The following is a 22,701-nucleotide window of genomic DNA, read 5'->3' as shown; positions in this document are numbered from 1 at the left end:
GACCAGAATTTTTTCCTTTAAATGTAATTTTGTACCCTTTGACCACCCTCTCCCCATCTGACCTCCTACCTACCTCCTTAGCCTCTGGTAACCACTATTCTACGCTCTATTTCTATGAGATCAACCTTTTTAGATTCCACATATAAGTGAGATAATGTGGTTATTTGTCCTTCCATGTCTGGCTTATTTCACTTAACATGATGATGACTTCATTCTGGAACAACAGCTTCACTTGATACAGAATTTTAGGCTGACAACTATTTCTTTCAGCACTTAAAGCTATCATTCTATTATCTTCTGGCTTCCACTGTTTCTATTGAGAAGTTAGCTGTCAGTATAACTACAGCTCTTTTGATAGTAATGCCTTTTTTCTCTAGCTGCTTTCAACATTCTGTCTTTGTTTTCTGGAATTTTTACTGTGATGGAAATAGATGTGGATTTTTCAAATTTATTGTCTTACCTGGGATTCACAGGACTTCTTGAATCTGTGGCTTGATGTCTTTAATTAATTTTAGAAAGTTCTCAGCTATTAACTTTTCTGCCTCATTCTCTCTCCTTTACTTCTGTGGCTGTGATTTCATGACTCTTAGACCTTCTCATTTCATCCTCTATGCGTTTCTCTTTATTCTGTTATTATCCATCTTTCTGCCTGTCCATGCTTCAGTTTATATCTTCTTCTGATCTATCATCCAATTCACTAATGCTCTATACAGTTTCACCTAATCCCCTGATAAAAGCATTCATTGATTTATTAATTTCTGTTATTACGTAAAACAAGTCTTTAAGAGATTTTTCCTTTGGTTTATAGTTTTCAGCTATCTGCTGAAATTCCCACTCTCATTTCCTTGACCACAGTGAACACTGCTATTTTTTTTTTTTTTTTTTTTTGAGATGGAATCTCATTCTGTCACCCAGGCTGGAGGGCAGTGGTGCGATTTCAGCTCACTGCAACCTCTGCCTCCCAGATTCAAGCAATTCCCTGCCTCAGCCCCCCAAGTAGCTGGGATTACAGGTGCCTGCCACCACACCCAGCTAATTTTTTTGTATTTTTAGTAGAGACAGGGTTTCACCATGTTGGCCAGGTTGGTCTTGAACTCCTGTCCTCGTGATCCACCCACCTCGGCCTCCCAAAGTGCTGGGATTACAGGCATGAGCCACTGCGCCCAGCCCGAACACTTCTATTTTTAAATATGTATATGGCAACTCCAACCTGGAGGTCATCCAGGTTGGTTTCAACTGTGATGTTTCTGCTGGCTGTTTACTTAAAATTACCAGCCAGTCATTGTATTTGCAAAATTATAGAGATAATTCGAGGCCTAGGATGACATAAATCCTCTAGAAAGAATTAACATGTCTAAAGGTACCATTAATCCCAGAATATATTTTCTGTTTTGGAGATGGGGTCTTCCTATATTGTCCAGGCTGGTCTTGAACTCCTGGGCTCAACTGATCCTCCCCGCCTCAGTCTCCTAAGTAGCTGGGATTACAGGTGTGCACCACCAAACCCAGCAGCCCAGAATATTTCAATCTAACTTTAGGGTTTGTCTACATTTTGGTCCCCCTAACTTCTATATCTTTGGGATCTCAATCCCAAATAAGTGATTGACTCTGCCCACCCTTTGCTTAGAACTCCAATTCCTGTCTTCCTAGCCCCACAAAGCTATCAAATGCAGCCTCTCAGTTGCCCCTATGACTAAAAACAGACTCAAATACCAAAATCATCACCCTAGGCCTTTGTTCTCATGCAGATACTGGCCTGGTAGTTCTTCAGTATCTTCTTAGATATACAATGCCTTCAACCAGAGAAGTTTTATTTTTTCTAGTTTCTCCAGTTACCTTTAGAAAGATATTTGGTCCTGATTATCAGAAAAGTACATCTCCATATCTACTTTTCACCCAGCTTTTAGACATATTTTCAGGATCGTAACATGCCCAAAGGCAAGGGAACCTGCACACATACACGGAAATTAAGCCCACCAGTGTAGACAAGATTGTCCATGGGCAGTATTAAGCAAGAACAACAGAGACACCAGGGCAAAGCCCTGAAAAAATTAACTTCCATTCCAAAATGTCACTCAAGAGGAAAACAGAATTCACTTTCAACCAAACTTTATTGTTTCAGACAGTCATAGACTGAACTGAGTCCCACCAAAATTCATAGGTTGAGGCCCTAACCTCCAATGTGACTATTGGGTTGGTGCAAAAGTAATTGCAGGTTTTGCCATTAATATATTTACAGATAAGGACTTTAAGGAGGTAATTAAGGCTAAATGAGGTGATAAAGGTGGGCCTCCAGTCCAACAGGACTGGTATCTTTATAAGAAGAGACACCTGGAGTGGATACACACAGCAAAAAGTACATAGCAAGAAGGCTACCATATGCCAACCCAAGAGAGAAGAATCACTGGAAACGAATCCTGACAGCACCTTCATCTTTAACTTCCAGTCCCCAGAATTGTAAGAAAAGAAATTTCAGTTGTTTAAGCCACCCAATCTATGGTATTCCATTATGGCAACCTGAGCAGACTAAGACACAAACAGCGCACATCATATGTATAATGTGGGAAAGCTGATTGGAGTATCATTTGTACTAGAAACAGTTCCACAAACTTGAGTGTCATCTAAATCCATTAGCAGGGCCTGACAAGTGGACTTACATAAAGAATCCCAACATAACAGTAAAGAGTAGGCAGCAAGCTGAAGAACAAGACTGGGAAGCAACAGCTTTGGTGAACAAGTCATCCCAAACTATCTTCCCTAAGTCTTCTGCCAACTGTGGCAGAGACTTATACAGGGAACAAGGCATACACTCAGCCAGGAACAGAAACTCACCAGAGCTCCTTCTGTCATGAAAAGCTTCTCACCAGACTCTAAAATAGTTTTTCTACAGGTTTCTCCAATACCCCCAACGTCATTATCACGACATATGAAATCAGAATTTGTCACACTCAGATTTTGTCAAATGCAGTGGGCTTGCCAGTAGTGCTGTTACCCAGAGCTCTTCAGCGACCTTCAACAAGTGCCTTAGTCTCTTCAGAGTCTGCACGCAGCATAGAGCCTGGTAAGTGAACATACATATGCACTTCCATCCCAAACCCAGACCAGCACATCCTGGCTAGTCCAGTGCTACCTCCCTCATCAGCACAGTACCCAGGAGACTCAGGCACAAGGTAGGAGACACAGGCACGAGAGGTTATCTCCAGGTCTCCTCATACATTAAGCCAGTGGAAGTGAGCCCTTCCCATGTCCGCGCACCCTTCATGAAACCAGGCTATTTCTAAACTCTGTAACCTAGCATTTCAGCAGGGGTTGGGGTGTGGAGGTAGGAAGGATGTTCACAGATTACCGCAGAGAGCCAACTGCCATATCACCCAGCTTCTACCCTCACTGCCATCACTTGGGTAGCCTCAAAAAATAAATAAATAAAATGGTATAACCATTTTTCAGTATCTATTAAAACCAATAACATACGTGCTTATGATCCAGATGTTATTTTCTCATCTACTCTTGAGAAACAGTCTGCATACATTCTATACAATCACAAAGTCCATCAGTAAGAAACTAGGTAAAATGTAGTCTATATTTAAACTTTAGAATATTACGTAGTTATTAAAAAGATCAAAGTAGATCCATATGTATCAGAAAGTTTGCCAAAGCAAATCTCCGAGTTTAAAAAGCCATGACATCCAACATAGCTTAAAGTCACAAACATGGTGAGGAAAAGATGGACACAAAGCAGTTTATTCTGTAAGGTTCTATTCATATGAAGCACAGAAACAGATGAAACTATTTTATGCTGTTAGAAGTTAGAATAGTAGTTAACCTTAGTGGGTGTGGGCAGAGACTGAAATGGAACAAAACAGGGCTTGCTGGGGATGGGGGGCTGGAAAATTTCTGATTCTTGACTTGGATGCTGACTAAACCAGTGTATTCAATTTGTGAAAATGCTTCTTAGCTGTTACTTATGGTAATTACTTGTACATTCTTCTGTATATGTTTTATACTTCAATTAAATGCTTGAATACCATTTTAGGTGGAAAAAAGCCTATTTATTTATTTATTTATTTGTTTGTTTATTTATTTATTTATTTTGAGATGGAGTCTCGCTCTGTTGCCCAGGCTGGAGTGCAGTGGTGCTATCTTGGCTCACTGCAAGCTCCGCCTCCCGGGTTCACGCCATTCTCCTGCCTCAGCCTCTTGAGTAGCTGGGACTACAGGGACCCACCACCACGCCGGGCTAATTTTTTGTATTTTTAGTAGAGACGGGGTTTCTCCATGTTGGTCAGGCTGGTCTTGAACTCCTGACCTCAGGTGATCCGCCCACCTTGGCCTCCCAAAGTGCTGGGATTACAGGCATGAGCCACCACGCCCGGCCAAAAGCCTCTCTATTTCTATAAGTATTTCTATAGATGCACAAGTAAAAATGTCTGGAAGAATACATCTCAATCTTAAAAGGATTACCTTTGGAGGGGGCCTCGGATGGGGAACAGAAGTGATAAAAGGAGACCCTAGTATTATCTGTAACATCTAAATTTCTGCAATATAATGTAGGTATATTACTTGTTTAAAAAGTAATAAATTTTTTTTAAATGGGAAAATTAGTTATGGGGGAAGTGACTTCTACTCCCCCAACTATACCCCAGGGTGGCTAACCTCTCAGTGATGGGAGGTTTGGATGCGAGGTTTCAGGGCAGGGGAGATAGGACTACATTGCCCTGGCCCTCCTTCTACTCCCACACAGCCCTGTAGGTCTCACCCTCAGCCAGAAGGTTCACAGAAGGAGCCAGCCAGGTGGGAAAAGAAACCAGAATTCATCTCTCTAACCCTTCTGCTCCTCTGGTTTCTAAGGCCCAGAGCAGATGAGCCTTGATTCACTATGCCCTCACTACACAGAGAAGCGGGACCTCTTGTGTGAGCCCTGGGCCACAGGACTCCCCTCTAACCCAATATCAAACCTCAGTGAGAAGGAAATTCCCAAAAAGTGCATAAAATAAGAGTTCTTAAACCATGGTTGCCAGCCCAGGCTGGGAAAACTCATGCATGCTTTCTAAATCAACGGACACATAATCCAGTTGGAGGGGAGGGGGAGGAGGGTTGTCAATGGCACTGGACATTCATTAAAAGGCATTGTCCTCATACCTGAAAACACTGTGCGCCACTGCACAAGCCAGAAGGAAAAAATATCCTGGCATCAACACTCGAGAGAGTCAGCTTCCAAGTTAGTCTCCTGTTTTAATTGGTTCAAGTCTGGGAGGCCACAGGGACCCCTCCTTCTCCTCAGATGGACGGATAACAGCTGGTCTCATCCCATCCTCCGAAATGCTCAGGCACAAACCTGGGAAGCAGCCTCCTCCATTCTCCAGCCAAGGGCTTGGGTTTCCAACCAGCCTTCCTTTTCCTTCTCCAGAACTAATTTTAGCCTCCTTGGTTGTCAGAGTGGAACTGAAATAGTCGGCAGAGGAACACATGCAAAGAGCATGAGCTCGCCTCACAAAACACCTCAGCTCCAGCCCAGAAACTGGCCAGGGAGAAGGCCCATTGTCCAGCAGGTCAGACCCATCCAGACAACATTCCCCTGGGAAGAGGGCCTCACATTTGCCCAGTGGGACAGGCTTCCTTTCCACACCCGCTTCCAGAGGTCATGCGTCCATGAATGAAAACACCCAGTTGGAGCTGCCAGTCCCAGAAAGAATCTGAAAAAGGCACATGCATGTGTACAGCAAGCCTAGAATAACCAGGGGAAAGCATGGGGCTGTCCGAAGGCGGGAAGCCATTATTGGTCCTGGGCCGGGAAGAGACATGGCTGACCCTTGAACAATCCCAGCCTGCTTTATCCATTGATTTCCAGTACCTACCACTGCCTTAGTCAGAGACATCACTGAGCAATGTAATAGAGTCAGAAGAAGGCAGCAGCATTTCCACCACCAGAAAACCTGGGCATTCAGTAGCAGTACCCCCAGGACCACAAGGAATAGGCACCTCTAGGGCTGGGATGGACCCGTAAGTCTGGTAGAGAATGAGAGACCAAAAAAGAAAGCCCAGAACAAGGGGGTGGGTGTCTGTTTTGGAACACAGAATTAGTGATAGAACCGGAGGGAAGGAAGAGAAAGAATTCTGAGAAGGAAATAAAGTCCCCTTTGTAAAGACCCCAAAAACAGATGGAACTAGGAAGTCTGAACCTCAGCAAGCACTTCACATACCAGTGATGTGGAGCACTTGGAAACTGGGTCTTTGAAAAATGCTTCCTCCACCCTAAGAGTCCAGTTTGTAATCACTTCCCAGTGCAGCAAACTGTGTCTCACTGAGTTCAAGATGAGACAGACAGAGTCCCACAGAAGCGTTCCCTAGCCAAGCTTGAAGCAGGCCAGGGGAGGAGTAGAAAATAAACATGGGGGCAGCCACAGGGGGCTGCCAGCCTGCCAAGCCCAATAGACAAGCCTCCACAGATACCAACCGCTCCACCAGGGCCTCCAGTGTCGGCTGCCTGTCTAAGGCAGCGCTGCCCACACCTCCCCAGGTCCACAGCAGGAAGCCTGGCCCTGCCCTCAGATTCCCATCTGGCCACCACACCCTGAGGGAGAGACTTGCACCCATACCTTTGGGGAGAGGCTGCCCACCTGCCCTGGTGTCCCCGGCCTGGGGGCTCCAGGCCCACAGCCTCTGCGGCTCCCCGGAGCGCCACATGGCAGGTCCACTCAGGGGAAGGGGCATGCCCACGGCCTGCTACAACCCCAGTGCTCCGCTTGGCAGACAGGGCTAGCCTTAGCTCCTGAGGCCCCCAGGTGAGCAGAGAGGGGCTGCTGGGCAGGCAGAGAGTCCCCAGCAACAGGCACTTCCTGGCATTTCTGCGTGTACGGGAGGAAGAGGCTGAGTGCCAGCCTTAAGGCAACGGTCAGAGGCGAGTGGGCGGGTGCGGGCAGGCAGGCTGCCCAGCCACCCACAGCCTCCGCCTCCCTGAAACCTGAACCACTTCTGGGAAAACTCAAGGACGCCAGGATTCTCCTCGGTGGTAAGCTGTACACCAGAACCACTAATTTTGAACCAAACTCTCACGTGCTGAGCAGATTTCACTAAGCAGGAATCTCCTAGGCTTTGAGGAGAACCTCACCTCCAACCCTGCATCCAGAGTGGGGGGATGGATATGCACTCAAAAGCCGTTACCCCTACTTCTTACAACTGTAGACCTCTTTGAAAGCGTGAGAACATTCTAGATCAGTGGTTCCCAATCTGAGATGATTTTGCTCTCACCTCTGCCAGGGACATTTAGCAAGATCTGGAAACATTTTTGGTTGACATGATTAAAGAGGATCTACTGGAATTTGTGGGTAGAGGCGGGGATACTGCTAAATATCCTACAATGCACAGAACAGCTCAACCCACCACTACCCATACACAACAGAGTATCATCAGGCCCAAAATGTAATAGTGTCAAGGTTGAGAAACCCTGTTCTACAGTGAGGCCCATGCAACCAGGACCCTGCCTCAGGACTATCTAGAGTCTATCTACAGTCACTAGCAAAAATATTATCCAGACCCAGTCCTCAACCCTCCAGATCCCAATCCATGGTGACAGGTCAGTATCCGTGAGTGGATCTAAACTCCTGAACCGATACTCCTTGGTTCTCATTTGCACTACCCTGAGCTCCCAAGCAGAGGGGCTGAATGCATAGGCTGGCACTCAAGAGGACAGCTTTCTGGAAAGAGAGACCAGGGCTAGAATCTGAACATCCGGCAGGATCACAAAAGGCAAAGTAAGTGAGGTACCAAGGTGGAAAAAGCACCCCTCCCCCGCAGAACAAGCTGCCCCTTAAGACTACTACAGTGGATATGTGCAGGGCAGCCAGGACTTCAAGGAGTCTAATCAGGGGGCAGTAGGTTCCCAGTATCTGTACAAAACAGAGTGGGTGCATACAATGTACACACACATGCACACATATACCGATTTACATTTTCCTGGAGGAAGGGTCCACAGCTTTCATCAGATTCTCAGAGGGGTCTATGACATGGAGGACCACTGTATAGAATGTGGGCTCTTCATTGGCTCCTTATAACAGGAGTTCCTTAGGTGAAGTGCCAGCAGAGGTCCAGGTGCTTCTGGAGATTCTTGATGCCCAGAAAGACCCACAGAGTAGTACACAGTAGAGGCCCACCCAAGTGATGGGAGGCCATAGGGTTTAGATCTTATGTTTTTACCCAGCTATAGGGCCTGGAAAGATGGGCAGGTTTCTCACATCATCTGCCTTGAAAGGGCCCCTAAGAGCTAGGGAGGATACCCATTCCTCCCAAAAGGCAGCCCACCCAGACAGGGCAGAGCCTCGAGTGCCCAGCAGATACAAGGACAGGTAGCAGAAAACACTCTTCTCTGGGAGGGGCACCCACGGCCCATGGCTCTGTAGCCCATGTCCTTGGCAGCTACCGCTACACTAGGCCTGAGGGATGAAAGTCACTTCACTTCATGAGCTCACTCCCTCCGCCCTCCCCCAAGGAAGTGGCCAAGAAACTTCTTTGGGTCAGCCTATCAGAGTAATCAGGGCCTGCACTTCCTGATGGGATAGACAGGAGGCAGGTCCCTCTCCAAGAGCTCTGGTCACTTCACTTAGAATACTGTTTACCCCACCCCCATAAGCCCTTTGATCTGAACCCCAAGTACAGAGTACAGAGACAGGTGTCAGGAGTTCTTGTAGGATACAGCATTGAGTGTCCAGGATGTCCACTGAAATGCAAGAGCCAAATGGCTTGTTTCCCAAGGACACTCGGCCAAGCACAGACCACAAAAGACTTGAAGAATTATTAAAGAACCAACTAACCACTGACTGATCTTGTGACAAGCACCATGTGACATTTATTACACCATAAATTCTACCTTCCCTTCTGAGATTCCATTGTCTAATATGGTAGCCACTAACCAAATGTTCTGCAGAGCACTGGAAATGTGGAAAGTTAGAGTTGAGGATGTTCTGTAAGGCACACACTGGATTTTGATGACAGTACAAAAATGGAATGCAAAATGTCTCGTTTTAATACTGATCTCAGGCTGAAATTACTTTGTATATATCAAATTCAGTGAAATATACTTTTTTTTTGAGACGGAGCCTCACTCTGTCACCAGGCTGCAGTGCAGTGACATGATCTCGGCTCACTGCAACCTCTACCTCCCGGGTTCATGCCATTCCCCTGCCTCAGCCTCTGGCGCAGCTGGGACTACAGGCGTGTGCCACCACACCCAGCTAATTTTTGTATTTTTAGTAGAGACGCATTTCACCACGTTGGCCAGGATGGTCTCGATCTCTTGACCTCGTGATCCTCCCACCTCAGCCTCCCAAAGTGCTGGGATTACTGGCATGAGCCACTGTGCCAGGCCAGTAAAATATACTATTGAAGTTCATTCCATCTCATGGAAAGAATGTGTCCCCCCAAAATTCATACAATGAAGTTCTGACCCCCAGTGTAATGGTATTTGGAGACGGGACCTTTGGGAGGTAGTGAGGGTTAGATTAAGTCATGAGGGTGGGGCCATCAGGTAATGAGAACAGGATTCACAGTCTTACAAAAAGAGGAAAACACCCCCTTGCCCCACCCCACCCCTGTCATTTGAGAATGCAGTAAGAAGGCAGATATCTGCAAGCCAGGAAGAGGGTCCTCACCAGAACCCAACCATGCCAGCACCCTGCACCCTGGGCTCAGACTTAGAGCTTCCAGAACTTTGACAATATAAATTTCTGCTGTTTAAGCCACCAGTCTACAGTATTTTGTTATGGCAGCCCCAGCTAAGACACAGCTGTTTCTTCTTCCTTTTATTAACACGACTACTAGAAAACGTTGTTTTATATCTATCCATAGTTCATACACTATTTCTGTCACACAGCACTCTTCTAGATGTTCCTTCTAGCAGGCATTGTGTGCTGCACAGTATGGGGGTTATTCCAAACAGCAAGCCAGGAGCTTGAAATTAAAGGGCATCCCTGAAGCCAAAGCAACAGGACGGTCAGGTCTGCTCCAAACTGGGCCTGGGGCAGCTCTTTTCACAGTTCTCCACAGGTCAGGGACTGGTTGATGTGACTACAAGAAATACCCAGTGACCCCCACCTTCCTCCCAGGGCAGGAATACAGGTCCTTATAGTGTGACTCTGACTGCCCCCTGGCAGGGTACACTGCTCAGCACTGCCCAAGCTAGGTGACTGAAGCAGAGGAAAAAGAAAGGACATACAGTCCTTCCAGGGGTCTGATGCCGCCCTGCCCTGCCTAAGGAGGGAGGTGTGAGACTGGTGTGATCCCCAGATCCCAGGTCTCAAGCTGTCCTGTCTTGGGAGGAAGCTCTCCTAAAGGCCTGGGCTTGGAAGAGCCCCAGCACTTCCAGGGATCAGGCACCCAGCGGGTCTGGAGGCAGTCAGGTGGGCTGCGGTCTGCCTATCAAGTCAGCTTGCTGCCGCCCTCCCTCTAGCAGACCAATGCCTCCCCTTTCACTTTCGAGCACTCCTTCTTGGGGAAAAGGCATCCCAAGGGAGCGGGGCAAAAAAGAGCAGAAAGTCCAACACGACCACCACTTCGCCTCCAAGAAGCGGCTCCAGGAGAGCTGCAACGCCCTCTTCCATACGGTACTCAGGTGCCAGCTGGTCTTTGCCCTTCGGTTTCCGGACTCAGGCTGCGCGCGCGCGCGCTACTACCCTACAGAACTCACTCGCTTTCGGTGTAAACTAAGCCTCACGACGACGCACAGGAGAAGGTAGAACCAGGGTGGGAATGGGACGCAGATCCCAAATCCCCACCCCCGCAGCAGCGTGGGGACTCCGGCCCCGCCCCTGCACGCCCGGCCCCGCCCCTCGAGGGTTTCCCAGACTCCAGGCGGCTGCCACCGAGGGCGGCGGGGGACCCGCGCTGCATGTGTAATGGGGGCTGGGAACAAAGACGCGCAGGACCCGGCGGCCGGGTACCAGCCGCCCCGACCTTCTCGCCAGAGCTTCAATGCCCAGCTCCCCACGTTTCCCAGGACTGGCCAGGGGACGTCCCGGCGCGCCCGCCGGGGTTAGGCGCACCCCGGCACCACTGAGAGAGGGAAATCGGTGCTTGGACCGTAGGAGAAACAAGCTTTCCAGGCGGAACTCCGCTTGTTTACGCCCGCGCCCACATACCCCCAAACACACATGCGCTGGCCGAACACCTCCAGCCACACGCCCGCAGCCGCGGGCGAGCTGAGCGCTGGTCACCCACCCCGCCACGTGCCTCCTGGAGGCCCGAAGGAAGAGGGACCTGTTGGGTTTTCCATCTTACCCACCCCCTCCCCTCCCAAGTGCCCAAACAAAGCGGTCCCGCGAAGCGACCACACTCCGCATCCCGGGGCCAACGGCAGGGAAAGAGGGAGCAGGTGGGAGCCAGCACCAACAGCCCGCCGGGCCGGTAACGCGACGCAGACTGGTGGCAAGAGATGCAGGGGACTTTGGGCTGCGTGAAGCCGCCCCCTTCGCTTCGCTACACTTAGTGACTCTGAGGGACATGCAACCCTCCCCGCATGCTGCTGCTGCTGCTGCACCTACAATCCTGCCACCCCCAATGAGATCTGCCCACCCCTCTTGGCCGCCTTCCCCACGCTCAGGTTTTCCTCACTCTTTCCCTGGGTTCCACGCGCCCGCGTAGCCCGAACTCCGACCCTGAGGCTCCGCGTCCCGGCCCCCATCGCAGGGGCGCCTCTAGGAACCAGAATCCCGCAGATGACTGCACAGACAAGATCGTGCCCCCAAGTTCGGCGAGCCGGGCGCCCACCGCGCCCCCAGCCCACGCCCCCGGAGGTGAGGGCTGAATACAGGTGGTGCGGCGACGAGGCCCCGGGCCCGCCCTTTGTTGGTAAACACCGCGCGGCGCCAGAGGCCAGCCCCGCGCGCCCTCTCGGCGTCCCCGCGCCGCGCCCAGTTCTTACCGGCGCACAGCGATCCCCAGAGGAGGGCGAGGGCCACCCAGGGCGCCGTCATGTTCCGCGGCGCCGCCCCGCGCACACCCGGAGCCCGCGGGCAGGGCCGCACGGCGCTCCCGGGGCGCGCAGGGCCAGGCGGCGGCTGCGCTCTCCTTCCCGCTCCTTCCTTCGGTCTCGTTCCCTGCGCGCTTCCTGCGCCTTCGTCCCCGAGCAGCGTTCGGGCTCCAAGGGCCGGTCGGCGGGGCCGGGCTCAGGGCCGCTGCGGGCGGCGCAGGCTGCGGCCCGGGCTCCGGGGCGACGCGGGGGCCGGGGGGCGGCGGCGGGGCACGGGCCGGGGCGCGCCCGACTCAGGCATAGCGCGGCGGGGCTGGGCCCGGGCCCCGGGCGCAGGGGCCGAGTCCGGAGGGGCCATGAACGGGGGGAGGGGTGGGGGGGAGGGGAGCTGAACCGAGTCCAAAATGGCTCCTGAGCGGCGGCCACGGAGCCGAGCCAGCGGGGAAACCCGGATGTTGGATACAAAGAGGCGGGCGGGCTGGGCGGGGAGGGGGAGGGGAGGCGGGCCCTCCGGCCGCGTGGTCCGCGCCCCCCTGAGGGGCGGGGCCCCAGAGAAACAACAACACGGAGGCCCCGCCCCCATCCCGCGCCCTGTGGGAGGACGCGCGTGCACCAACTTGCTGGAGGACAGGGCGGGGCGCGCGGACGGAGGTGGCGGGAATGGGCTCCTGACCACTTTGCCCGGGAGCCTGTGGCCACTGCACTCGCAATTAGTGCCCCGCACGCTCGAGCCCAAGCTCCTGACACATGCTGCCCTACAACCCCGGAATGAGTGGATAGTCCCGGGACTCTGGCCCAGACGCCTCTGTGCCTTGGATTCCCCACCTGTGCAATGGGGGTGACAGTGAACCGTGGGAAAGTCGGATCTCTACTGATGGGCGAATTAAGTGGCAGAAAGAGGCTGACTTCCCTGAATTGACAAGCAGTCTCCCGTCTGCAATCCCTTGCCACACACTCAAAGGCACAGCTAGGGCGGGGAGTGGTCATTTAAACCCAACCAAGTGAGGGAGCGGGCAGAGTCCCGCCCCTCTAAGCCCAGCAGGTGGAAAAGGGCCTCTGGCAACCTGCTGGCCCTCCCTAATCCTATCTTGTCTTCTGCAGTTCCTGCGCCACCCACAGCGGCCCTGAGCTTCAATCTGCACTTTCAAAACTTCCCAGTTGCCTCCAGAGCCCTGCAGTTGAAGATCTTGTCTAGCACATGGTTTTGCTGTTTTCCTCACCCCGAACTCCCTCCTTGGAGGGCCATCGTTCTCTGTCTCAGATTCCACCCTCCTTATCACACAACTAGAGCTTCGGAGGAACGTGATGGGGCTCCCAACTAAGGAGGGAAAGACCATCATAGCTCAGGGATGAGGCTCCGAGATCCTCAGATAACATTAATTGTCCTCTGTCTTCTCTTGACTTGGCACATCCTTGCTTGGAGCAGGGCAGGAGCAGCTGAAAGGGAGGTGGCACCTGGAGGTCTCAGTCATTTCACTTCTCTGAGCCTCAGTTTTCCCATATGCAAAGTGAAGAGGTACACTCCCTCAGGGTTTTGCATCTTCTTAATGGCAGAAACCTAGTCAAACAAAATATTATGTAAATGTTCACTATAGGCAGGGCGAGGTGGCTCAAACCTGTAATTCCAGCACTTTTAGAGGCCCAGGAGGCTCTTGAGGTCAGGAGTTCGAGACCAGCCTGACCAACATGGCAAAAACCTGTCTCTACTAAATAATACAAAAATTAGCTGGGCATGGTGACACACACCTGTAATTCCAACTACTCGGTAGGAGGCTGAGGCAGGAGAATCGCTTGAACACAGGAGGGAGGCGGAGGTTGCAGTGAGCTGAGATTGCACCACTGCACTCCATCCTAGGTGACAGAGTGAGACTCTCTCTCAAAAAAAAAACAAGTTTATAAAGGAATGTATATTGTTCTGATTGACATTGAAATAGGGTCAACTACCCCCGGTCACCAGAGCAGCAGGAACACCTCAGGGGCCACACTTTGGAGGCACTGCCCAGAAAGATTTCTGGGTCTTTAAAAGTCCCTTCCAGTCCTGGGAAATTCTATGTGAAAATGATGGTCCCTGCTTGCTATAATCCCTACAGGTGACTTATTATCTAAGCCATTTAACACAGGATTGAATACTATGCGACTGTGTGCCAAGCAAGAAGCAGTGTTGTATGGGACACCCTAGCTGTGTATAAGGTATCTGGTAATAACACAGGAGGCCACAGTGATAGACTGTGATAACGGAAGTAATTCCATATCCAGTTTAAGTGTCTTTTCTAGGGAGTATAAATCGTTATCTCCATTCCAATATGGACTGAAAGGTATCGACTTTTATCCATGTGCCAAAAATTAGATTGGCTGGTTCCTCTCTTCTACTCCATACCAGGTCAGGTATCATAATAAGGACTCAGAGTGGTCCAAGCTGCCCAAATATCTGTGTCTTCCACTCTGACCTGTCTGGGAACCCCAAATTTATATCCAACTGCTTACTTGACAACTGCAGTTGGTAGCCTATCAGGCATCTCAAATTTGACCTAGCCAAAGCAGAAGTCCTCATTTTCCCCGTAAATCTCCTCCCCAGTTTTCCCTGTCTGAATCAATGGCATAAGCAACTACACCATTGCTCAAATCAGAACCTTATGAGTCCTACTGAAACCAGCCAAAGAGTCCCATAGACAGTTGTTTTTGTTTTTGTTTTTGTTTTTGTTTTTGAGACAGAGTTTGGCTCTTATTGCCCTCACTGGAGTGCAGTGGCACGATCTCGGCTCACTGCGACCTCCACCTCCTGAGTTCAAGTGATTCTCCTGCCGCAGCCTCCCAAGTAGCTGGAATTACAGGCACGCCACCATGCCCAGCTAAGTTTTGTATTTTTAGTAGATACAGGGTTTCATCATGTTGGCCAGGCTGGTCTTGAACTCCCAACTTCAGGTGACCTGCCTGCCTCAGCCTCCCAAAGTGCTGGGATTATAGAAGTTGACCCTTTTGCAGTTAAAGCTGGAAACTTACTTGTTTTATCCGAGTTCCTTCCTCAGGAAAGGACCTTCAGGCCTCTCACAAAAAGTATCAAAGAACTGAAGCCATAAAAAGTATCAAAAGAACTGAAACCAGATCACTGCACTAGATGCTGGGCCCCTCAGTCACCATGATTGCTTCCTTGCCCCTCCCATGTTCCTGTTTTCTTACATATTGTTACATTTCTTTCCTGCTATATAAACCCTTGGTTTTGGTCAGTCAAGGAGATGGATTTGAGACTGCACTCCCATCTCCTTGGCTGCAGCACCTGATTAAAGCCTTCTTCCTTGGCAATACTTGTCATCTCAGTGATTGGCTTTCTGTGCACCGAGCAGCAGGACCTAGACCAAACCCCTGGTGTTTCGGTAACAATACTTGATTCCTCCCATATACAGTCCATCAGCAAAATAGCCTCAAAAGTGTATCCACCATCCGACTACTTTTTTCCATGTACACTACTGCAACATTGTCTTATATCTGGACTGTTGCAATAGCAGTGAACCAGAAGGGAGCTTAACTGGTCCTCTGAATTCATTCTTGCCTTAAATAAATCTTCCATATAGTAACCAAAGTGATTCCCTGCCATCATTTTGATCATGAGCTCATCAAGCAAATACTAGGCTGGTTGAGAAAGGTGATAATGGATATTTGAAAAACGAGTTCTATTTGGGTTTTCTGTTCTTTTGAACGACTACAAGATTGCTAAATATCACATTTGGTATCAGACATCGGGTGACCAAAAACTGAAAGGCAAAAAAAATCTGAAACCCCAAATGTCTGCTGTAGAATTTATGGCAGTGAATTCTGCCATTAAGGCATTCAGTGTGTTAGGACCACTATTCCCTGGCTTCCCCACCCTTCAACAATCAAGACCAGAAACCAAGGAATTGAGAAGAATCAGTTGAACATGACATTCTTTAGTATCAAGCTATGGAAGAAGATGGAAAACTATAGCATTGTAATAAGACTTGGCATCTATATAATTATAATGAATTCTATTAAGGGATTAAATACATTCATTTAGCAAGATAAACTTTGAAAGTAACCACAGTTTTTATAATGTTATTTGGGAATTTCTTCATTTGAGAAAATATAAGTGGCCTCACCCTCTCTCAGTTTCTGAGAGGCCCTGGTTAGACATTCACTGTAGTGGGTAATTTAGGCATAGCAATACGAAATTAAACAATTTTATGAGAGTACCATTCACAGTGTATAATTGTTGGGGGAGGGGTGGGCAGTGTATACTTTCTTTGGTAATACAGTTCCCCCAAGACTTAATAAGCTATCTGTTATTTCCTAGACACAGTTCTCAAAGTGCTTTATTTCTTTGCCTTATTTATTTTCTTCCTAGACCTCGTACTTTCCCCGCCCCTTTCTCTTAACTTAATGGTGGTTACTTGAGGTCAAAAAAATGAATTGGCTTGGGTAGAAAGCTAACACTATCTCTCAAGAGAGATTAGATTATGCTGTGCTAATGGAAAAATCCCAAAACCTTAATGGCTTAAAATAACAAAATTTATATCTTTCTCGTGATACATATCCATTGGAGGTCAACAAACAAGCTCTACTCATTGTAATAACTCAGGGACACAGACTAAGAGGGCTACCTTTTGATACATGCTTCTACTATTGGAGAGACAAGGGAAAGAGAGCATGGTAAATGCTGGCCCTTAAAACTTCTACCAGACTGGGAAGATGATGGTTAGGTTGTTGGCTGCATTGTTTTTGAATCTTTCAAAATCTTCACATGAAAACACAGAGTAAGCTGGGTGTGATGGCTTATGCCTGTAATCCCAGCACATCAGGAGGCTGAGGCAGGAGCATCACTTGAGCCCAGGAGTTCAAGACTAGCCTGGACAACATAGTGAGACCCCCGTTTGTTAAAAATAAATAAAAATAAGGCTGGGCATGGTGGCTCACGCCTGTAATCTGAGCACTTTGGGAGGCCAAGGCAGGTGGATCACGAGGTCAAGAGATCGAGACCATTCTGGCCAACACGGTGAAACCCTGTCTCTACTAAAAATACAAAAATTAGCTGGGCATGGTGGCACATACCTGTAGTCCCAGCTACTCAGTAGGCTGAGGTGGGAGAATCACTTGAACCCAGGAGGTGGAGGTTGCAGTGAGCCAAAATCATGCCACTGCACTCCAGCCTGGCAACAGAGCAAGACTTGAATGTCTCACAAAATAGCAATAATTAATTAATTAAAATAAATAAATAAATAAAAATGAAAAACACAGAGCAACTGTATGGAAAAAACCAGACCATCCAAGTGCACTCACTGAAAAACCAGGTGACAGGATTTCCCTCAAAACATCAAAATACAAGCAAATAGAGACAAACTACTAATAGCAACAAAAGCTGTGTGGGCGAGCCTCTGCGCAAGAGGGAGCAGGATACAACAGGGTATATGACATACCTGAGAACCTCCAAGAATTCACACAGGATGGGGAAATGTTTAGCTCCACCCAGCAAAATTGGAGTCTTCATGGAAAACTCAGAACATTCAGTAGAGACCCAGAGAGTCACTCCATAGTGGAGCTAAACCAGCCCTAGATAATAAAGGCTATTGTAAACCTCAATACTAAGCTAAAGGAACAAGCCTTGACATGATCAACTTGATCTATAAGTTAATTTAACTACCCACCAGAGGAACCATCACTTTTTAAAGAAATTCTATCAATCTGACACTCAGTAAAAAAATATTTTAAATGCCCACATCTAATAAAAGAATTACTAAGCATAGGAAGAAGCAGGAAAATGTGACCCAAAAGAAGCAGAAAAATCATTCAATAGGAACAGATACAGAAGTGACAGAGATAATGGGATTATCAGTCAAGGATTTTAGTTTAATTTGATTTTTACAGGTATTTTTGTACAAATTCATGGAGGACATGAGAAATTTTGTTGCATGTATATAATGTGTATTGTTCAAGTAATGGCATTTAGGTATCCATCACCCAAGATCAATACATTATTCTTAAATATAGTCACCCTACTCAGCTATCAGACATTGAGTTTATTCTATCTGTATGTTTGTACCCTTTAACCCAGTTCTCTTCACCCACCCACCCCAGCTCCCTACTCACCCCTCCCAGTCTCTGTTATCTATCTCTCTACTGCCATAAAATAAAATATTTTAGTTTCCACATATAAGTGAGAATATATATTTGTCTTGTTGTGCCTGGCTTAGTTCACTTAAGATATATCCAGATCCATCCACGATGCTGCCAATGACAGGGTTTCTTTTTTTTTTAATTAAAATTTATGAGACAAGGTCTCACTATGTTGCCCAGGCTGGTCTCAAACTCTTGGGCTCAAGCAATCCTTCCTCCTCAGTTTCTCCAAGTGTTAGGATTACAGTCATGAGCCACCATGCCTGGCCAATTTCATTCTTTTTAATGGCCGAATAGTATTTCATTGTGTATATATACTACATTTTCTTTATCTGTTCATCCGTTGATGAATGCTTAGGTTGATTCTATATCTTCTCTTTTAAGAATAGTGCAATAATAAACAAGAATGGAGGTATTCCTTTAATATATTGATTCCTTTTCCTTTGGGTAGCTATCCAATACTGGGATTGCAGGATCACATAGTAATTCTGTTTTTAGTTTTTAGAGAACTCTCTATACGGTTGTTTTCCATAATAACTGTGCTAGTTTACATTCCCACCAACAGTGTATAAGAGTTCCCTTTTCGGCCAGATGTGGTGACACATGCCTGTAATCCCAGCATTATGGGAGGCCGAGGAGGGAGGATTGCTGGAGTTCAGGAGTTTGAGACCATCCTGGACCAACATAGGGAGACCCTGCTTGTATCTACAAAAAAAAAAAAAAAAAAAAAAAATTAGCCAGATGTGGTGGTGCATGCCTGTGGTCTCGGCTCTTCAGGAGGCTGAAGTGGGAGGATCACTTGAGCCCAGGAGGTGAAGGCTCCACTGAGCCATGATCGTGACACTGCACTCCAACCTGGGCAACAGAGTGAGACCTTGTCTCCAAAAATAAAATAAAAAAGAGTTCCATTTTCTCTGCATCCTCGTCAACATTGTTATTTTTTGTCTTTATAATAGTAGCCATTCCAGCTGGGATAAGATAATTATATGGTGGCTTTGATTTGTATTTCTCTGATGATAAGTGACATTGAGCATTTTTTCATATGCTGTTATCCATTTATATGTCTTCTTTTCAAAATGTCTATGCATGTCCTTTGTCTACTTTTTAATGGGATTATTTGGGATTTTGTTCCTGTTCAGTTGTTTGAGTTCCTTGTATATTCTGGATATTAGTCCCCTGTTGGATTAATACTTAGCAAATATTTTCTCCCATTCAACAGGTTGTTTCTTTACTCTGTTGATTGTTTCTTTTGCTTTGCAGAAGCCTTTTAGTTTAATAGAGTCCCATTTGTCTATTTTTGTGTTTATGGCCTGTGCTTTTGAGGTCTTAGTCATAAATTCTTTGCCTAGACCAATGTCCAGGAGAGTTTTCCCTAGGTTTTCTTCTGGTATTTTCATAGTTTCAAATTTTGAATTTAAGTCTTTAGTCCATTTTGATTTGGTTTTTGTATATGGTGAGAGATAGGGGTCTGGTTTCATTCTTCTGCATGTGACTACCCAATTTTCCCAGCACTATTTATTGAAGAGGGTTTCCATTCCCCAATATAAGTTCTTGTCAGCTTTGTTAAAGATTCGTTGGCTATAAATATGTGGCTTTATTTCTGGGTTCTCTATTCTGTTCCATTGGTCTATGTGTCTATTTTTATACCAGTACCATGCTATTTTTGTTAATACATCCCTGTAATATATTTTGAAGTAAGGTAATGTGATGCCTCCAGCTTTGTTCTTTTCACTCAGGGTTGCTACTGAGAGGTGAAACCAGCTGGACTCTGGATGGGGTGGGGACTTGGAGAACTTTTCTGTCTTACAAGAGGATTGTAAAATGTACCAATCAGTGCTCTATAGCTAGGATTTTAAAATGCACCAATCAGCATTCTGTGGTTACCTAGAAGTCTGTAAAATGTGCCAATCAGCACTCTGTAAAAATGCACCAATCAGCTCTCTGTGGCTAGCTAGACGTTTGTAAAATGGACCAATCAGCACTCTAATCTGGCAATCAGCACACTGTAAAATGGACCAATCAACAGGACATAGGTGGGGACCAATATGGGAATAAAAGCTGGCCACCCCAGCCAGCAGCAGCAACCCACTTGGGTCTCCTTCCATGCTGTGGAAGCTTTGTTCTTTCACTCTTCACAATAAATCTTGCTGCTGCTCAATCTTTGGGTCCGTGGCACCTTTAAGAGCTGTAACACTCACCACAAAGGTCCACGACTTCATTCTTGAGGTCAGCAAGACCAAGAATCCACCAGAAGGAACCAATTCCAGACACTTCTTGGTGACCAAGAAGGGACTATCGTCAAGCAGTGAGTACCATTGGACCCCTTTCGCTAGCTATTCTGTCCTATTTTTCCTTAGGATTCAGGGACTAAACACCAGGCACCTGTCAGCCAGTTAAAAGTGACTAGCGTGGCCACCGGACTAAAGACATGGGTGTCAGGCTTTCTGGGAAAGGGCTCTCTAACAAACCCTGACTCTTCGGAGTTGGGAGCGTTGGTTTACCTGGAACCAGCTTCCACTTTTCCTGTACATCTGGGCTGACCCAAGGGTTGACAGAAAGGAAAGCCATTCAGCTCCAAGGTCCCAACAAAATGTTGGTTGACCATGTAGCCATGAGTGGAACTCTCAAAGTTACATTGCCCAAGCAACACTTGCCCATCTATCCTATCTATCCTGACCCTTGCCTCCTGGGTCCTAATGCCTGTCAGACAAACTTCCTCCTGCCTCTCTTCTCCGAGACTAGTCCCGCTTTTAGAAAGCACTCCCTGTTTCTGGTGCTTTTCTAGTTTCTCCTATAAGAATGATGTCTAGTATAAATTTCATGACTCTGTTCCCTTCTTTAGGCACCCAGGCTCACCAATTAGACATAATTTTTGCCCAAAGCCCCGTCGCGTGGGGGAGTTCAACTATCCTTTTAGGATCCCTCCTCAGACAAGCAGGCCTAACAAAGGCTATATGGGGAGCTTCAGAAATTATATCCTTCCTATCCATATGATGAGAAGTAAGGACAAAAGGCATTACTCTTCCAACCCTGGAGATCTCTTCCCTCCCTCAGGGTATGGCCCTCCACTCCATTTTTGGGGAATATCATCTTTATAGGAAAGGGGTAAGGTCCCAATACTAACAGGAGAAAATGCTTAGGACTCTAATAGGTTTTCAAGAATGTGTTGTTAAGGGCCACTAAACCTGATTTTTCTTGGTCCTCTTTGCGGTCTAAGAGGGAAGGCAAGGGTGCAGGTTTTCAAGAATGTGTCGGTAAGGGCCACTAAATCCGACCTTCCTCAGTCCTCCTTGTGGTTTAGGAGGAAAACTAGTGTTTCTGCTACTGCATCAGTGAGTACAACTATTCTGATCAGCAGGGTCCAGGGACCATTGCAGATTCTTGGGCAGGCCAGGGGTGGGGGGGCATGGGCAGAAACAAACCAAAACCATGGGCGGTTTTTTCTTTCAGATGGGAAACACTCAGGCATCAACAGGCTCATCCTTGAAATGCATCCTAAGCCACTGGGACCAATTTGACCCGCAAACCCTGATAAAGAGGTGACTCATTTTTTTCTGCACTATGGCCTGGCCCCAATATTCTCTCTCTGATGGGGAAAAATGGCCACCTGAGGGGAGTGTAAATTACAATACTATCCTGCAGCTTGACCTTTTCTGTAAGAGGGAAGGCAAATGGAGTGAAATACCTTATGTCCAAGCTTTCTTTTCATTGAAGGAGAATCCACAACTATGCAAAGCTTGCAATTTTCATTCCACAGGAGGACCTCTCAGCTTACCCCCATTATCCTAGCCTCCCTATAGCTCCCCTTCCTATTAATGATAAGCCTCCTCTAATCTTCTCTGCCCAGAAGGAAACAAGCAAAGAAATCTCCAAAGGACCACAAAAACCCCCAGGCTATCAGTTATGTCCCATTCAAACTGTAGGGGGAGGGGAATTTGGCCCAATCCAGGTACATGTCCCCTTCTCCCTCTCTGATTTAAAGCAGATTAAGGTAGACCTGGGGAAGTTTTCAGATGATCTTGATAGGTATATAGATGTCCTACAGGGTCTAGGGCAAACCTTTGACCCCACTTGGAGAGATGTCATGCTATGAGATCAAACCCTGGCCTTTAATGAAAAGAATGTGGCTTTAGCTGCAACCCGAGAGTTTGGAGATACCTGGTATTTTAGTCAAGTAAATGATAGAATGACAGCTGAAGAAAGGGACAAATTCCCTACCGGTCAGCAAGCCATCCCCAGTATGGATCCCCACTGGGACCTAGACTCAGATCATGGGGACTGGTGTCGCAAACATCTGTTGACCTGTGTTCTAGAAGGACTAAGGAGAATTAGGAAAAAGCCCATGAATTATTCAATGATGTCCACCATAACTCAAGGAAAGGAAGAAAATCCTTCTGTCTTCCTTGAGCATCTACAGGAGGCCTTAAGAAAATACACTCCCCTGTCACCTGACTCCCTCGAGGGTCAATTTATCCTAAAAGATAAGTTTATTTCCCAATCAGTCACAGATATCAGGAGAAAGCTCCAAAAGAAAGCCCTAGGCCCTGAACAAAATCTGGAGGCATTATTAAACATGGCAACCTCAGTGTTCTATAAAAGGGACCAAGAGGAACAGGCTG

The 22,701-nt window shown here is 47.5% G+C and overlaps 2 protein-coding genes and 1 long non-coding RNA gene across 7 annotated transcripts in view, besides 7 other annotated features; 1 reads left to right on the top strand and 2 right to left on the bottom strand.

The window, feature by feature from the left end:
* Positions 1-12,396, bottom strand: part of ACVR2B (activin A receptor type 2B) — a 39,253-nt gene extending 26,857 nt beyond the window's left edge. Inside the window, exon 1 of one of the 4 annotated variants that reach the window (NM_001106.4) lies at positions 11,912-12,396. In NM_001106.4, coding sequence (NP_001097.2) covers positions 11,912-11,963 — 52 coding nt within the window. In that variant the 5' untranslated portion in view covers positions 11,964-12,396. The other 3 variants (XM_017007515.3, XM_005265583.4, XM_017007514.2) reach the window with 3 other exon arrangements.
* Positions 10,542-11,126: an enhancer, noted in NCBI's record as "H3K27ac hESC enhancer chr3:38496651-38497235 (GRCh37/hg19 assembly coordinates)". NCBI's record gives its function as "activates a minimal SCP1, AML or CMV promoter by ChIP-STARR-seq in primed H9 embryonic stem cells {active_cell/tissue: H9 hESC(primed)}" and the evidence as "EXISTENCE:reporter gene assay evidence [ECO:0000049][PMID:30033119]".
* Positions 10,727-10,906: a silencer, noted in NCBI's record as "silent region_14213". NCBI's record gives its function as "represses an Ori minimal core promoter by ATAC-STARR-seq in GM12878 lymphoblastoid cells {active_cell/tissue: GM12878}" and the evidence as "EXISTENCE:reporter gene assay evidence [ECO:0000049][PMID:35858748]".
* Positions 11,127-11,710: an enhancer, noted in NCBI's record as "NANOG-H3K27ac-H3K4me1 hESC enhancer chr3:38496067-38496650 (GRCh37/hg19 assembly coordinates)". NCBI's record gives its function as "activates a minimal SCP1, AML or CMV promoter by ChIP-STARR-seq in primed H9 embryonic stem cells {active_cell/tissue: H9 hESC(primed)}" and the evidence as "EXISTENCE:reporter gene assay evidence [ECO:0000049][PMID:30033119]".
* ACVR2B-AS1 (ACVR2B antisense RNA 1) lies at positions 11,466-15,259 on the top strand. The gene is made up of 2 exons (NR_028389.1): positions 11,466-11,783; positions 13,061-15,259. It is a non-coding gene; the product is annotated as an ACVR2B antisense RNA 1 (long non-coding RNA).
* Positions 11,717-11,996: a silencer, noted in NCBI's record as "silent region_14212". NCBI's record gives its function as "represses an Ori minimal core promoter by ATAC-STARR-seq in GM12878 lymphoblastoid cells {active_cell/tissue: GM12878}" and the evidence as "EXISTENCE:reporter gene assay evidence [ECO:0000049][PMID:35858748]".
* Positions 12,315-12,814: an enhancer, noted in NCBI's record as "H3K4me1 hESC enhancer chr3:38494963-38495462 (GRCh37/hg19 assembly coordinates)". NCBI's record gives its function as "activates a minimal SCP1, AML or CMV promoter by ChIP-STARR-seq in primed H9 embryonic stem cells {active_cell/tissue: H9 hESC(primed)}" and the evidence as "EXISTENCE:reporter gene assay evidence [ECO:0000049][PMID:30033119]".
* Positions 12,417-12,536: a silencer, noted in NCBI's record as "silent region_14211". NCBI's record gives its function as "represses an Ori minimal core promoter by ATAC-STARR-seq in GM12878 lymphoblastoid cells {active_cell/tissue: GM12878}" and the evidence as "EXISTENCE:reporter gene assay evidence [ECO:0000049][PMID:35858748]".
* Positions 12,547-12,596: a silencer, noted in NCBI's record as "silent region_14210". NCBI's record gives its function as "represses an Ori minimal core promoter by ATAC-STARR-seq in GM12878 lymphoblastoid cells {active_cell/tissue: GM12878}" and the evidence as "EXISTENCE:reporter gene assay evidence [ECO:0000049][PMID:35858748]".
* XYLB (xylulokinase) overlaps positions 13,245-22,701 on the bottom strand; it is a 106,257-nt gene continuing 96,800 nt past the window's right edge. For both annotated transcript variants that reach the window (XM_011534327.3, XM_011534329.3), the window contains one exon: positions 13,245-13,517. In XM_011534327.3, coding sequence (XP_011532629.1) covers positions 13,448-13,517 — 70 coding nt within the window. In that variant the 3' untranslated portion in view covers positions 13,245-13,447. The remainder of the gene's footprint in view (positions 13,518-22,701) is intronic.

The sequence above is a fragment of the Homo sapiens genome, chromosome 3, assembly GCF_000001405.40.
Source record: "Homo sapiens chromosome 3, GRCh38.p14 Primary Assembly".
Taxonomy (NCBI): Eukaryota; Metazoa; Chordata; class Mammalia; order Primates; family Hominidae; genus Homo; species Homo sapiens.
Note: the sequence above shows the minus strand (reverse complement) of the source record. Positions and strands in the feature narration are given on the sequence as shown.